This window comes from Homo sapiens, chromosome 12 (genome assembly GCF_000001405.40).
Source record: "Homo sapiens chromosome 12, GRCh38.p14 Primary Assembly".
Lineage (NCBI taxonomy): Eukaryota > Metazoa > Chordata > Mammalia > Primates > Hominidae > Homo > Homo sapiens.
Window position 1 is genome coordinate 114062712 of NC_000012.12, and position 15117 is coordinate 114077828.

Consider the following 15117-nt stretch of genomic DNA (forward strand, 5'->3'; position numbering starts at 1 on the left):
CACATCCAGGCCATCACCAATAATTCTATACGACAAATGCTCCTTCTAACCCTACAATATCACCCCTTACCCCAAAAATCTTTCTTCAGTTGAATCTTTCCCACTGTAGGTTCTGACGCCACGCCAATCCCGTTCAAAGCTGCCCTGAGAGACATCGCCCATTATCTCCCCATAACTCCCCCAAATTTTTCACCACTCCAACACTTCACCACTATTTTGTTTTTCTTATTAATATAAGAAGACAGGAATGTCAGGCCTCTGAGCCCAAGCTAAGCCATCATATCCCCTGTGACCTGCACGTATACATCCAGATGGCCTGAAGCAACTGAAGATCCACAAAAGAAGTGAAAATAGCCTTAACTGATGACATTCCAACATTGTGATTTGTTTCTGCCCCACCCTAACTGATCAGTGTACTTGTAATCTCCCCCACCCTTAAGAAGTTTCTTTGTAATTCTTCCCACCCTTGAGAATGTATTTGTGAGATCCACCCCCTGCCCACAAAACATTGCTTCTAACTCCACCACCTATCCCCAAACCTGTAAGAACTAATGATAATCCCACCACCCTTTGCTGACTTTCTTTTTGGACTCAGCCCACCTTCAGCCATGTGATTAAAAAGCTTTATTGCTCACACAAAGCCTGTTTGGTGGTCTCTTCACGTGGATGCGCATGACAATCAGCTCTTACTAGTTTTGTGATCTTGAGAACATGACTTTACCTCTCTAATCTTTATATGAAAGATGAGTTCTCTTCCCATACCTCATTGTTGGGATTTCAGAGCTGGAATCTTCTTCGTATTATGTGTCTATTGCCTAATCAGTGCCTGAAGTCAACAGTAGTCACTGCTTTTGCCCATGGATCTGCATATGAGCAGGCTTGGGGGGATGGGACAGACAGCTGGACCTGTCAGCAGGGGCAACCTGAGCATTCCTGGAAGTGGATTCTTTAGCCCTGGTCACATGGTTGGTGAGTCGATACAGGTTATTTCTTTTCAGATGTCTCTTCAAGGGGAAGCTTGGGCTTCCTCACAGCATGTCAGTGGTTTTCTCATAAAGCAACCTTTTTCAGTTACCGGCTCCTATCTCCACCCTGACTCCCTCCAGGTTACCAGCTCCTATCTCCACCCTGACTCCCTCTGGGTTACTGGCTCCTATCTCCACCCTGACTCCCTCTGGGTTACCGGCTCCTTTCTCCACCCTGACTCCCCCCGGGTTACCGGCTCCTTTCTCCACCCTGACTCCCCCCGGGTTACCGGCTCCTTTCTCCACCCTGACTCCCCCCGGGTTACCGGCTCCTTTCTCCACCCTGACTCCCTCTGGGTTACCGGCTCCTATCTCCACCCTGACTCCACCCGGGTTACCGGCTCCTTTCTCCACCCTGACTCCCTCCAGGTTACCAGCTCCTATCTCCACCCTGACTCCCTCCCAGGTTACCAGCTCCTATCTCCACCCTGACTCCCTCCAGGTTACCAGCTCCTATCTCCACCCTGACTCCCTCCAGGTTACCGGCTCCTATCTCCACCCTGACTCCCTCCAGGTTACCGGCTCCTATCTCCACCCTGACTCCCTCCAGGTTACCGGCTCCTTTCTCCACCCTGACTCCCTCTGGGTTACTGGCTCCTATCTCCACCCTGACTCCCTCCAGGTTACCGGCTCCTATCTCCACCCTGACTCCCTCTGGGTTACCGGCTCCTTTCTCCACCCTGACTCCCTCTGGGTTACCAGCTCCTTTCTCCACCCTGACTCCCTCTGGGTTAACGGCTCCTTTCTCCACCCTGACTCCCTCTGGGTTACCGGCTCCTTTCTCCACCCTGACTCCCTCTGGGTTAACGGCTCCTTTCTCCACCCTGACTCCCTCTGGTTTACCAGCTCCTTTCTCCACCCTGAATCCCTCCGGGTTACCGGCTCCTTTCTCCACCCTGACTCATTCTGATTTCCTTCTCTGTCATAACCATTTTTTCCCACCAAACCACTCACTCCAACTTTTTAAATTAGCCAATCAGAATTAGTTTAGCCTATGTGGTCTAACCCTAGCCAATAGGGGAACAACACAGCAGCAGGGGCTACATGTGTCAGGGGTAAGAACCCCTTCCCCTTCCTTGTTCAAGTGTGTGCTCACCATTGTTCCATCTATGAGGCTGTACCCTTCTCTAGAAGCAAATAGCCTTGCTGAGGATTAAAAAGAAAATTTTATATTCCAGTGCTATTTCTTTTGAAGCACCAAAACTTCAGTTATAACAATTTGGGGGCCCATCCAGGATTACGTTCCCCTCCAGGGGTGGTCTCTGGTTCTCTCTCATGAGGCATGCCCCACCCCTTTGTGGCGGCCTCAGGGGCAAGAAATCGGGACCCACCCAGTGTGAGGAATAACCTGAGCTCTCTGCAATGTGGAAAGAAATCGGCTGGCAACCTAGGGTAAAGGATCCTCCATAACGGCCACGCAAGTCTGTGCACAGACTGAGGAAAATACACCATAACCACGGGAGCCAGCAAAGTATTTCCTTAGTGGTCGGGACCAAGATAAGAAAGCCACAGCGGGGCAGTGAAGTATTCCCTGGTTGGGGTGGCTTAGAGGTGAAAACGAGGTGAGATATCCCCACTGGGGGGATCGAACCTTACACAAACCTCCAGTAGTAGAAAAGGCAAGAAATTTCCAGTGGGGGCAATTGAGCCTCACCCCAAAAGGCAAGAAATTTCCAGTAGGGGAAATTGAGCCTCACCCCAAAAGGTGAGAAATTTCCAGTAAGGGAAATTGAAGCTTACTCCAAAACCATCAAGATGGGAAATACCCCAAGCAAGACAGGGAGCAAGAGGGATAAAGATGGTAACAAAGATATTTCCCCAGATAGTCCCTAGGTCTCATGTTAAAATACTGGAAGGATAATGAAAGGACTAAACATAGGAAAAAGCAACAAATGATAAAATATTGCTCTTTTGTTTGAACTCAGGGACCAATCCTAAACCCTCAATCTTCTGGTCAAAGTTTGGGTCGAATGAGGATGTAATGTGTCAGCTTCTAATCCGATATGCTAATGATAAAAATCCAGTGTCTCAAGAAGAACTAGGCTAAGCCCTTTGTTGGAGGCAAAGACCTGCCTTCCTTTTCCCCTTAAAAACAAATAGGGAAGAACCCAATCTGGCACCTCAAAATGAGAAGTCAGAGGAGCCAGCTCTCATGCCTAAAGACTCCAGTACATGGTATCCCCTAGACCATCTTCCCCCACTCAGTGTCCCCAATCTTTCCCTTTAGGCAGCCACTGCTGCCTCAGATCCCATCCCAAATCTCCCCTCTACTCATGTTATCCCTTCTCCTTATAACCTTGACTCTTGGGAATTACCATCCCACCAGCCAGTTCTGTCCCAACCTAAATACCCCTCTCTAAGAGGACTCCACCATGAGGTAGCACAATGTAAAAAAGATATTCAGAATTTCCCATTTCCCTCTGTACCTAAGGGGTCAGCCCCAACCCTCTTCCCTTTGAAAGAGATACCACAAGGGGGGTGGGGGGAGGGCGTTGGCTTTGTAAATGCTCCCTTAACCAGTTCAGAAGTCTGGAATTTTAAAAAGGAGCTTAAACCACTATTAGATGACCCTTATGGAGTGGCAGACCAAAGTGACCAATTCTTAGGACATCATTTATACACTTGGATCAAGTTAATGTCCATCTTGGGCATGCTCTTTTCAGGGGAAGAAAGGAGTATCATTCGTAGGGCTGCTATGGTAGTTTGGGAACGTGAGCACCCTCCTGGTGAAAACGTTCCTACCTCAGACCAGAAATTCCCCACCTGACACCCCGGGTGGGACAATGCTGCAGATCACTGGGAAAATATGCAGAACATAAGGGAGTTAATAAAAGGAATTTGGGAATCAGTACCCCAAACCCAAAATCTTTCTAAAACATTTGATATATAACAGGAAAATGATGAAGGGCCTATGAGATTCCTAGACAGACTGAGGGAGCAAATGAGGCAATATGCAGGCCTCAGTTTGGATGATCCCCTTGGGCAAGGAATGTTGAAACTCCAATTTGTCACAAAAAGTTGGCCAGACATTTCAAAAAAGTTACAAAAGAGACAATTAGGGGACAGTCTTCCCAAGTGTATATGTGAAAAGGGACGAAGAAAAACAAACAGAAGACAAAACTTATGTTTTCTACCTTCCAAACAATGGCTCCAAACCCAGGTACTTCTAAGACAGTTTCCAGGGAGCCAGAAACTATAAAGGGTCCGAACCCTCTTTTAAAGGACCCCAGCCTCCATCTGGAGGACCAAGGTTCTCATCTACCAGGACCCCTAAAGAGTATGGGGGAACAGAGTTAAAGAATCCCTGAACTAAGAGGGAGGAAGGACAAGATAGGTGCTATAGATGTGGCAGAACAGGCCACTTCAAGAGAGGATGTCCTGAACTAAGAAAGGAGAAAGAAGCCCTTCGACTCATGACTTTTGAGGAAAAATAGGGGGGTCAGGGGCTCTTTTATCTTGAGTCCCATCAGAAGCCTTTGATAAATTTGGAGGTGGGACCTAAACATGAGCTTATCACCTTTTCAAGTTGATTCAGGGGCCACTTGCTCCTCTGTTCCCCACCCCCCCAGTCTAATGTTGTCTCCTCCTCAGAGGAACTTTTAGTCTCATGGGGTAAAAGAGGAAGGATTTAGAGCAAAAATTTTAGAAAGCACAGAAGTTAGATACCAGGATCTGTCAGCTCATATTCTGTTCTTGTTAATCCCTGAAGCAGGAACTAATTTACTGGGGAGGGATTTAATCTTAAAGTTAGGGATAGGTTTACAAGTCAGCCCAAGAGGATTCCTTACCTCATTAAACCTACTCACCACTGCAGATGAAAAATATATTAATCCTAATGTCTGGTCCAAAGAAGGAAACTGAGGGAAACTCCAAGTCCCTCTGATCCACATCAAGCTAAAAACCCATGGAGAAGTAGTAAGAAGGAAGCAGTACCCTAATTCCCCTAGAAGGTAGGATAGGGTTGAAACCTATAATTGAAGGCTTTATTAAGGATGGGCTTCTCAAGCCCTGTATGTCCCCTTATAACACCCCAATACTGCCAGTCAAGAAATCAGACAGGTCATACTGGCTAGTACAGGACCTTAGAGCTATTAACCAAATAGTCCAGACTACCCACCCCATTGTCCTGAATCCTTACACCATTTCTCAGCAAGATTCCATATAATCAATGGTTTACTGTAATAGATTTGAAGGATGTTTTTGGGCATGTCTCCTGGCTGAAGATAGCTGAGATACGTTTGCTTTTGAGTGGGAAGATCCCCACTCAGGGTGAAAACAATAATATTGATGGACAGTCTTGCCCCAAGAGTTCACAGACTCCCCTAATCTTTTTGGCCAGATTTTAGAAGTATTAGAAAAAGTTGTCATCCCAGAACAAATATGCCTTCTCCAGTATGTGGACGACATTCTTATAGCTGGTGAAGATATAGAGAAGGTCATTGACTTCTCTACACACATTCTTAACCATCTGCAGTTTGAGGGGCTACGAGTTCAAAAAGAAAGCGTCAGTATGTAGAGCCCAAAGTTAAATATTTAGGCCACTAAATAAGTGCAGGCAAGCGAAGAATAGGGCCTGAATGAATTGAGGGAATCGTTTCCCTACCCTTGCCTCAAACTAAACAAGAACTCAGGAAATTTTTAGGGTTAATTGGATACTGCTGCTTATGGATTGACTCATCTGCACTGCACAGTAAACTGTTGTATCAAAAACTTGCCCAGAAGAAGCCTAACCATCTCCTGTGGATTTCTGAGGAAGCTGATCAAGTTGAGAAATTGAAGGAAAGGCTCATAACTGCCCCTGTTTTAGCCTTACCCTCCCTAGAAAAGCCATTCCACCTTTTTGTCAATGTGGACAGTGGGGTAGCTTTAAGAGTGCTGACTCAAGAACAGGCCACCGGCAGCCTGTAGCCTTCCTATCAAAGGTCTCAGATCCAGTCACTCGTGGATGGCCCCAGTGCACCCAGTCCATCACAGCTATAGCAATACTAGTCAAGGAAAGCAGAAAGTTAACCTTTGGAAGAAAATTGACAGTAAGCCCACCTCACCAAATTAGAACTATCCTAAATCAGGGAGCAGGGAGATGGCTTACTGATTAGAGACTTTTAAAGTATGAGGCCATTTTGTTAGAAAAGGAAGATTTAACATTGACCACGATAATTCACTCAACTCAGCAGGTTTCCTAACAGAGAATCCAAATCTAAGGAGAGAACACACGTGTTTAGATTTAATTGATTACCAAACAAAGGTTTGACCAGGCATAGGAGAAACCCCCTTCTGGACTGGATGGCACTTATTCATAGACTGTTCCTCCCGGGTGATTGAGGGAAAAAGACACAATGGGCATTCAGTGATTGATGGAGAAACTCTCGTGGAAATAGAGTCAGGAAAATTGCCCAACAATTGGTCTGCTCAAACATGTGAGCTGTTTGCACTCAGCCAAGCCTTAAAGTACTTACAGAACCAGGAAGGAACCATCTATACCAATTCCAGGTATGCCTTTGGAGTGGCCCATACATTTGGGAAAATTTGGACTGAACGAGGTCTCAACAGTAAAGGTCATGTCCTTGTTCACAAGGAGCGAATCACCCAAGTATTGAATATCTTCACAGTTGCAGGAAGAAATAGCTATTGTCCATGTTCCTGGATACCAGGAAAGCCTTTCTTTTGAAAGTCAAGGAAATAACCTAGCAGATCAGGTAGCCAAGCAGGCTGCTGCGTCTTTTGAAATGCATATTTTTCACTTAACTCCCTACCTCCCTCCTCCTACCGTAATCCCCATTTTCTCTTCCACTGAAAAAGAAAAACTAATAAAAATAGGCGCTAAAGAGAATTCAGAAGGAAAATAGATATTGCCAGACCAGAGAGAAATGTTGTCTAAACCACCTCTTATGAGGGAAGTCTTCTCCCAACTACATCAGTGGACTCAGTGGTGGCCCCAGGCCATATGTGATGCCGTTCTCAGAGTTTATGGTTGTTTGGGAATTTATACCCTGGCCAAACAGGTTATACAGATAGTTGCTTAGTATGTAAGAAAACTAATAAACTATAAAAAAAGTTACCTCTCAGGGGAAGGAATCCAGGCTTAAGGCCATTCCAAAGTATCCAAGTTGATTACACAGAAATGCCTCCAATAGGTCCTCTAAAATATTTACTAGTGATAGTAGACCACCTCACTCACTGGGTTGAAGCTATCCCCTTTTCAAATGCAACAACCAATAATGTAGTTAAGGCCCTAATTGAAAATATAGTACCCAGTTTTGGACTAATAGAAAATATTGACCCAGACAATGGAACTCATTTCACTGCACATATTATTAAAAAGCTATCCCAAACATTAGACATTAGATGGGAACACCATACTCCCTGGCACCCACCCTCATCAAGGATAGTAGAAAGAATGAATCAGACTCTAAAGAACCACTTAACCAAATTAGTCTTAGAGACTTGATTGCCATGGACCAAGTGTCTACCTATTGCCCTGCTAAGAACCCGAACTGCACCATGGAAACATACTGGTCTTTCTCCTTATAAGATGCTCTACAGATTGCCTTATTTACACTCCACCGCTGATATTCCTACCTTTGAAACAAAAGATCAGTTCCTTAAAACTTATGTATTTGGTCTATCTTCTACTTTCTCTCCTCTTAAAACTAAAGGTCTATTAGCACAGGCACCACTCTTGGAATTCCCAGTGCATCAAACAGCCTGGGGATCACATCCTCATCAAGAGCTAGAAAGAGGAGAAGCTTGAGCCAGCCTGGGAAGGTCCTTACTTAGTGCTCCTAACTACTGAAACCACAGTCCACACAGCAGAGAGGGTGGACTCAGCATATTGGAGTCAAGAAGGTGCCACCCCCTCCAGAGTCATGGGCCATAGTCCCAGGGGAAAACCCTACCAAACTAAAGCTAAGAAGAATTTAACTCTTTCATCTATTCTATTACTCTTTCTTCTTTCTTCACTCTATCGCTGACCATCTGTAGTTATTAACATAACTAAGACAATTTCGCCTCAAACTATTGCATTTGATGCTTGCCTCGTTATACTCTGTGGGGACTTGTCAAGTCAAAGACAGCTCTCTACTTCAGAAAAGTACCTCTGTCCCTCCTTGCTCTCCTCAGACTGGGCATTAGTGAATTGAGACCATTTAATCTGGGGAGATTTTGATAAAGACCCCAGTGCCAACTAGGAGTCTTGCCTCCCTGATGTAGAGCTTTTATGCCGTAGTTGGTCTGATGTTCTGTGGATCACCAAACAGCAAGGATGGACTGCCCCAGTTTGTAATTTCTTAAAATCATACATTCATTTTACCAAAGGGACAGCCCCCACTGTCAGCTAAACCAGTACAATCCTATACAGGTTATTATCTCAAGCCCCCAAAGTTCTTCCCCTTTTCTAAGCTGGTTCCCTTCTTTAAGCCAGTTTTATTGTATGGGGGCTGAGGTTTCAGGGACAGACCCTATTGGATTCTTTGAAATGTGTTTCTTTGATCCCCTGCCACCTGCACCTTCCTCTAAGCCTCCTTCCAAAACCTCTTACAACTGAACCATTGTTCCTCCTCCATCTAACAAGGCCAAGATAGTGATGGTAGAAGTTAAAGACTTAAAACTTTGGCAATTGAGACAGGATACCAAGATGCAAATGCCTGGTTGGAATGGATCAAATATTCCATCCGCACATTAAACAAAAGCAATTGTTATGCTTGTGCACATCACAGGCCAGAGGCCCAGATTGTCCCCTTTCCACTAGGGTGGTCCTCCAGTCGACTGGGGGTGGGCTGCCTGGTAGCTCTTTTCCAGGATTCTACAGCCTAGGGTAAAAAGTGGTGCCAAGCTGTCTCTCTGCTATATCCTGAAGTCTGACACCCTGCGGGTCAGCCCCTGAGGACCATCCAGCTTCTGTATCCCAACACCAAGTTCACTTTGTGTCTCTCACGACAGGGAAGAAACTTAGCGTTCCTTGGGGACCTGAGGGGATGCAGTGAGCTTAAGAATTTTCAAGAGCTTATCAATCAGCCCTTGTTCACCCCCAAGCGGATGTGTGGTGGTATTGTGGTGGACCTTTACTGGACACTCTGCTGAATAACTGGAGTGGCAACTTGTACTTTAGTCCAATGGGCTATCCCTTTCACCCTGGCATTTCATCAACCAGAGGAAGGAAAAATAAGACATCGTAAAGCTAGAGAAGCCCCTTATGGGTCTTTTGACTCTCACATCAATTTAGACACAACTGGAGTCCCACAGGGGATACCAGATCAATTTAAAGCCCGAAATCAAATAGCTGCAGGATTTGAGTCAATATTTTGGTGGTAACAAAAATTTAGATCGGATAAACTACATCTATTACAACCAACAGCAATTAACTACACTAGAGTTGCTGTTAAAAGAATAGCTGAACAATTAGGGGCTACTAGCCAGATGGCTCAGGAAAATAGGATAGCCTTAGACATGACATTAGCAGAAAGAGGAAGAGTTTGCATCATGATTAAAACTCAATGTTGCACCTTCATCCCAGACACCACCACCCCTAATGGAAGTATAACAAAGGCATTGCAAGGTCTGACTGCTCTATCCAATGAGTTAGCCAGCAACTCAGGGGTAAATGACCCATTTACAGGATTGCTAGAAAAGTGGTTCAGTAAATGGAAAGGAATAATAGTCTCAATTCTTACCTCCCTCGCAGCCATAATAGGTATACTTATTTTTGTCGGGTGCTGTGTCATACCATGCATCCATGGGTTGCTGCAGAGGCTCATAGAAACAGCACTAACTAAAACCTCCCTTAACTATCCTCCACCTTATCCAGAGAAGCTTCTTTTGGAAAATCAAGCAGAACGACTAAGCCAAGACATGTTAAACAAGTTTGGAGAGAAAGAGCTGTAAGGAAATGCAAGAGGAGGGGCTGTTAGATATGAGTTCTAAATTTCTCTTCAAAAGAATGTCAGTATGTTCAATTCTTTGCGTTCTACTTTTAAACTTAACTTCCTTGTGAAGCAACCTTTTTCAATCACTGCCCATCTCCACCCTGGCTCACTCTGGGTTACCAGCCCCCGTCTCTACCCTGGCTCATTCCAGGTTACCTGCTCATTCTCCACCCTCATTCCTGTTACCTGCTTATTCTCCATCCTGACTCATTCCGATTTCCTTCTCTGCCATAACCATTTTTCCCGCCAAACCACTCACCCCACCACTCTTTAAATTAGCCAATCAGAATTAGTTTAGCCTGTGCAGTCTAACCCTAGCCAATAGGGGTACGACACAGCAGAAGGGGCTATGTGTGTCAGGAATAAGAACCCCTTCCTCTCCCTTGTCCAAGTGTGCACTCACTACTGCTCCATCTGTGAGGGTACACCCTTCCCTAGAAGTAAATTGCCTTGCGGAAGATTAAAAAGAAAATTTAATATTCGAGTGCTATTTCTTTTGCGGCACCAAAACTTTATTTATAACATTATGACTGCTATTAGCACCACAGATTTGTAGGAGGGCTACTACTGTGTGACACTGTCCAGGCTGGAAGTAGGAATGTTATCTGGAGGCATTGCCCAGATTCTCCAGTGAACTTAATTGGATTTGAAGCTGGAGGAAGACTGCCAGCATTTAGCTTCTCCCAGCATTCAGAGGGGGAAGGATGGGTTAAAGAGAGCTCCATGTGACAGCCCTGGAGATGGGCTGCTTGAATTGCTTTTCAAGGCAAGCCTTGCCATTCAGCTGTAGGATGGCAGGTAGCTGCAGTGCCTTTGGGATCCATCGCAGCACTTGTCACTGTGGTCTCCCCAAGCAAATCCAGCTGATGACTGAGCACAGTAGGGGTAGTAGTGCCTGGCCATTTCTGCCCAATGCAGCATAGCTTTGAGCAGTCTTTGGAGCACATCACTGGGGCTTCAGACCTTATATCTGCATCATGACCTGAGGCTCTCCTTGTCTGCTTTCTCTCCTTTAATCCTACATAGGTTTCACCCAACATCCAGAGAAAGTGTCCACTGTAACAGCTGGGTCCTCCAGTAAGCAGTTGCTAGCACAAATCAATGTACTTCCCAGGGAGAAATTGGGGTGGTAGGGTGCAGTACACAAGGGATCTGTGTATGCACAAGCGTGTATAAAAGGTTTCAGATGCAACACCAGTTGTAGCCTTATGCCAAGCCTCCCTCCATCCTATTGATTTCACGCCCCATGCCCCCCCCCACCACCTCCCACATCAGGCAGGACAAGCCTGCTCAGGTAGCCACAACTTCCCAGGGGGCTCAACCCCAGCCCCTCCTGAGGAATCTTTGAAGTGTAATTGCTGTCCCAGGATGTGCTGGTGCCGAAGAATATATCAAGATGCTAAATGCTAGCATTCTTCCTTCAGCTCCAGAGCCAAAACTAATACAAACACCCCATCCCCCCAGGTATTACTCTAATTCCATCAACAGGCTGACAAGGCCTGACCTCATCATGGGACCCCTCTGACTTATGGCCTTACCAACAGAGGCAGTGTCTTGAGACCTGAGCTAGATACCTGGTACCTACCTGGGAGGACAGTGGTTCAAGAGATGAGCAGCCACCCCAGACCTGCAGCTGGAAGTGCCATGGTCATCCTCAGGGAAGAGCCTTAAGCTGAGGGATTTTCTGGGTGGAAGGAAGAGAACAGAGTCAAGCTGTTTAGGGTAGACACATTACTTCTTGCATTGCCCTTTTCCCAAGTTAGCCGACTTGGGAAGAGGAAAAATCAATTCCAAATTGTTAGTAGCATGAAATGGAGGTAGTATGAGGTCTTGTCCCCTGTGCTACTCAGCTGACAAGCTCTGCTTTTTATTTTAGCAATATCATGAGAAGATTGAGCAGAGTTCCCACTAGGAAAAATGATAGGATCTTTAGCTTTACAGTAAATCATATATATAGAGGAAAGTATAGATTAGTATAGAACATGATGAATTTCAAAGTGAACCCTCAAGTACAGCCATAATTACACAAGTCACCCTATGTTGATTCGTTTAAGATCTGCTTTCCAGAAGCTTGTCCCATAAGCTTTCCTCCTACATGCAGATAAATCTCACCTGGTACATCTATTCTTTTATGAGGTTTTAAACTACCTGACAGGGGATGATCCCAGCACATGGAGCCAGAGCTGGCTGCAACCCAGGGTCTTTTGGATTAGTAGATGATGATTGCTAACTAGATTGAAGGGTAATCCTGTCCTCACTTCCATGTTTCATTTCCATCACATGTGCTATTGATGCCAGACAGTTTGCTCTCAACTATGGATCTAAATAAATCCAGGTTCAAATCCCATCTCTACCTCTATTTTAAAACAAGTGCTAGGCCCATTTTAAAGTTAAACTGAGCTTAACAGCTACATCTATTCTCTACAAGTCTTTGAGGTATGCTTGGTCGCAGTGCTGGATAGAAAGCAAAGAGACCACATGGGTACCCTGTGCATTCCCATCATAGGGTCTGCTCTGGGACCTAGATGGAAGTTACCAGATGCTCTCGGGATCCACTAGTGGGGATCTTTCCACTCAAGGAAGTGGAACTAGTGAGGGAAGGAAGTATATAAGGGTATAAATATCACATAAAGTCCCACAGAGGGTAACTGGCTCAATTCCACAGCAGAGCCCTGGAGACAACATACATCTCTTCAGTTGGCCTTGTGGGTGTGAGGGAGCTGGAGTATTCATACCTACCCCTGCATCCTTCAGTTGTTAGTTAAAAAGCACCTGATTCTCCATGTGTGCAGTCAAGGCAGCCTGAGGCCCATCCTTCAACGATAGAGCACTGGCTGTTAAGAGGCAAAGTGTCGGGAGCCAGTGGCTGTGAAAATGGCAAAGAACCCAAGGGATGTAGAAAGAATCCCCGGGCATCTTCTGTATCCACAAAGAACAAGCCCTAGGATAGGAGATACTTCCAAGATGCTAATTTCTGTTAATGAAGCAGCTGTCCCAGAATTGAGTTCAGATCCCTGCACCTTCAGCCTTTTAAGCCATAGTTTCGCCTGCTCGCATGCAGCTTTCTTTAATTGTACAGAGAACCAGTCGGAGAACTACGTTCCAGTGAGAACTGAGAAAAACCAGGAATATTCTCACTGCATTGAGAATATCACACTTAATTTTTGATCTCTTGTCCACAAGGGGCTTTAATGTAGTAGTGGGGACAGGAGGTATAGAGTCGATGTCAGTCACAGCAGCAGAACAGAAAAGAACTTAAGCAGGAAGAGGCCCCAGCAGGAGAGTATCAATGATGGCAGCAATGGTGGTGAGATCGGATAGGACAACTGTATCAGGCACAATGTGGAGGGAATCTCCTTATGACTAAGGCAGGGAGACCACAGTAAAAATAGAGGCTCTAAGTATGCAGGGGCCACCCTAGTGCAGGGGATTCCAATGGTAGGGAGGATCATATACATTTCTGATACCAGAAAGGGTCAATCTTCCTCTCTATAGTCGAACACAGGCCAAAAATAGGCTGACAGCAGGATCTCTGAGTGGGTGTGCTGATTATTTGGTTTGCCTCCAGAGATCTAGCCTATCATTTTTCACTCTGTCCTGTGCTCAGAGAGGATCATCTGTTTGTCTTCACCTAGAAGACAGGGCAAGAGAGTGAGTAGATGTAGTCAATGAGAGGCACCAGCAGGTGACGGAAAGACAAGTGGAGGGAGGGTAGTCAGTTGCCTTCTCCCCAGCCAGGGGCCACTTCCCTTTATGACTTCGGCTTCCATGATAACAGCTCAGTCAGGCCCAGGAGCACTGGTTACTTCTCTGTCCTCTCAGCTCTGGGAGAGTTGGGGTGGTCATGAAGCCCTGAGACTGTAGAGGGACATGCCAACTTCTTGTTAGTTCCCTCAACCCTGCCCATGCCTATGGGTAATCAGAGATGGATTCTATCTCCAGTTAGGATCCTGATAGTGGTATTTGTGTGGGGGATTCCATGCAAATGGTGTGTGGACAGAAGGTGAGTTGACTATGAGAAGGTCAGCTCACAGGCCAGTAGACTTCCTGATGCACAGCACACACCATTGCATGAAGTAACTGGGACTCAAGCTTCCTTCTTCCAACTCAATCAGGATATGAGAGCATTGGTACATGGTGACAGCGTTCAGGAATCAGATCCAAGGAGAGAAAGATAGCTTCATGTATCAAAGTGGAGATGTCCTTGTAAGAAATGACATCTTTGGAGGGTCAGCCCTTCCCTGAGAACTTCTTCACTCTGTCCTGTGTTCAGAGAAGATCACCTGCTTGTCTTCACCTGGAAGACAGGACAAGAGAGCAAGTAGATGTAGTCAATGAGAGGCACCAGCAGGTGATAGAAAGTGGAGGAGGTTGGGTAGTCCGTCGCCTTCTCCCCAGCCAGGGACCACTTTTCTTTATGACTTCAGCTTCCATGACAACAGCTCAGTCAGGAGGATTCCAGAAGCCTGTTACCAGAAGCACTGGTTACTTCCCCCGTCCTCTCAGCTCTGGGAAGGGTGGGGTGGTCATGAAGTCCTGAGAGAGCAGAGGGACACACCAACTTCTCTTGTTGGTTCCCTCAACCCTGCCCATACCTATGGGTAATCAGAGATGGATTCAGTCTCCAGTTAGGATCCTCATCAAGGTATTTGTATGGGGGATTCCATGCAGATGGTGTATAGAGAGAAGATAGACACAAGGTGAGTTGACTATTATGAGAAGGTCAGCTCACAGGTCAGTAGACTTCCTGATGAAGGACAGAACACCATTGCATGAAGTAACTGGGACTCAAAGCTTCCTTCTTCCCACTTGACCAGGATATAAGAGCTTTGGTCCACAAGGACAGGTTCAGGAATCAGATCCAAAGAAAGAAAGACAACTTCATGTATCAGAGTGAAGTGGAGATGTCCTTATGAGAAATGACATTGTTAGAAGTTATCAGGGAAGGGCAGACCCTCCCCAGTGAGGGCTCACATTCATGCCCCTTTGGCAAAACCAAGTTGACCACACTTATCCCAGTAATCTATCCTGGAAAGGCCTTTGGGCAGAGATAGAGAGCGTTTTGCTTAGAAATCTACTTTCAGACCAACTGAGGGCCATTCCAGAGCCCCACAGGACAGGACAGAAGACAGCCCAGGTTTTCATAGAGGGGACTGAGCTCACTCAGGTGA

At 45.9% G+C, this 15117-nt stretch overlaps 2 long non-coding RNA genes across 6 annotated transcripts in view, besides 1 other annotated feature; one reads left to right on the plus strand and one right to left on the minus strand.

The window, feature by feature from the left end:
- Window positions 1403–1991: an enhancer, noted in NCBI's record as "H3K27ac-H3K4me1 hESC enhancer chr12:114501919-114502507 (GRCh37/hg19 assembly coordinates)". NCBI's record gives its function as "activates a minimal SCP1, AML or CMV promoter by ChIP-STARR-seq in primed H9 embryonic stem cells {active_cell/tissue: H9 hESC(primed)}" and the evidence as "EXISTENCE:reporter gene assay evidence [ECO:0000049][PMID:30033119]".
- On the minus strand, window positions 10490–14315 carry LOC105369994 (uncharacterized). Of its 2 annotated transcripts, none has more exons than XR_945359.2 (3): window positions 12686–14315; window positions 11532–11630; window positions 10490–10964 (listed from the first exon to the last, which is right to left on the minus strand). It is a non-coding gene; the product is annotated as an uncharacterized LOC105369994 (long non-coding RNA). The 2 variants fall into 2 exon arrangements; XR_945358.2 differs by having other exon boundaries at window positions 10490–11098.
- Window positions 14316–14406: 91 nt separating this feature from the next.
- The window catches only part of LOC105369995 (uncharacterized), a 36373-nt gene continuing 35662 nt past the window's right edge, over window positions 14407–15117 (plus strand). For all 4 annotated transcript variants that reach the window (NR_188422.1, NR_188424.1, NR_188423.1 and 1 more), the window contains exon 1: window positions 14407–14646. This is a non-coding gene — a long non-coding RNA (uncharacterized LOC105369995). The remainder of the gene's footprint in view (window positions 14647–15117) is intronic.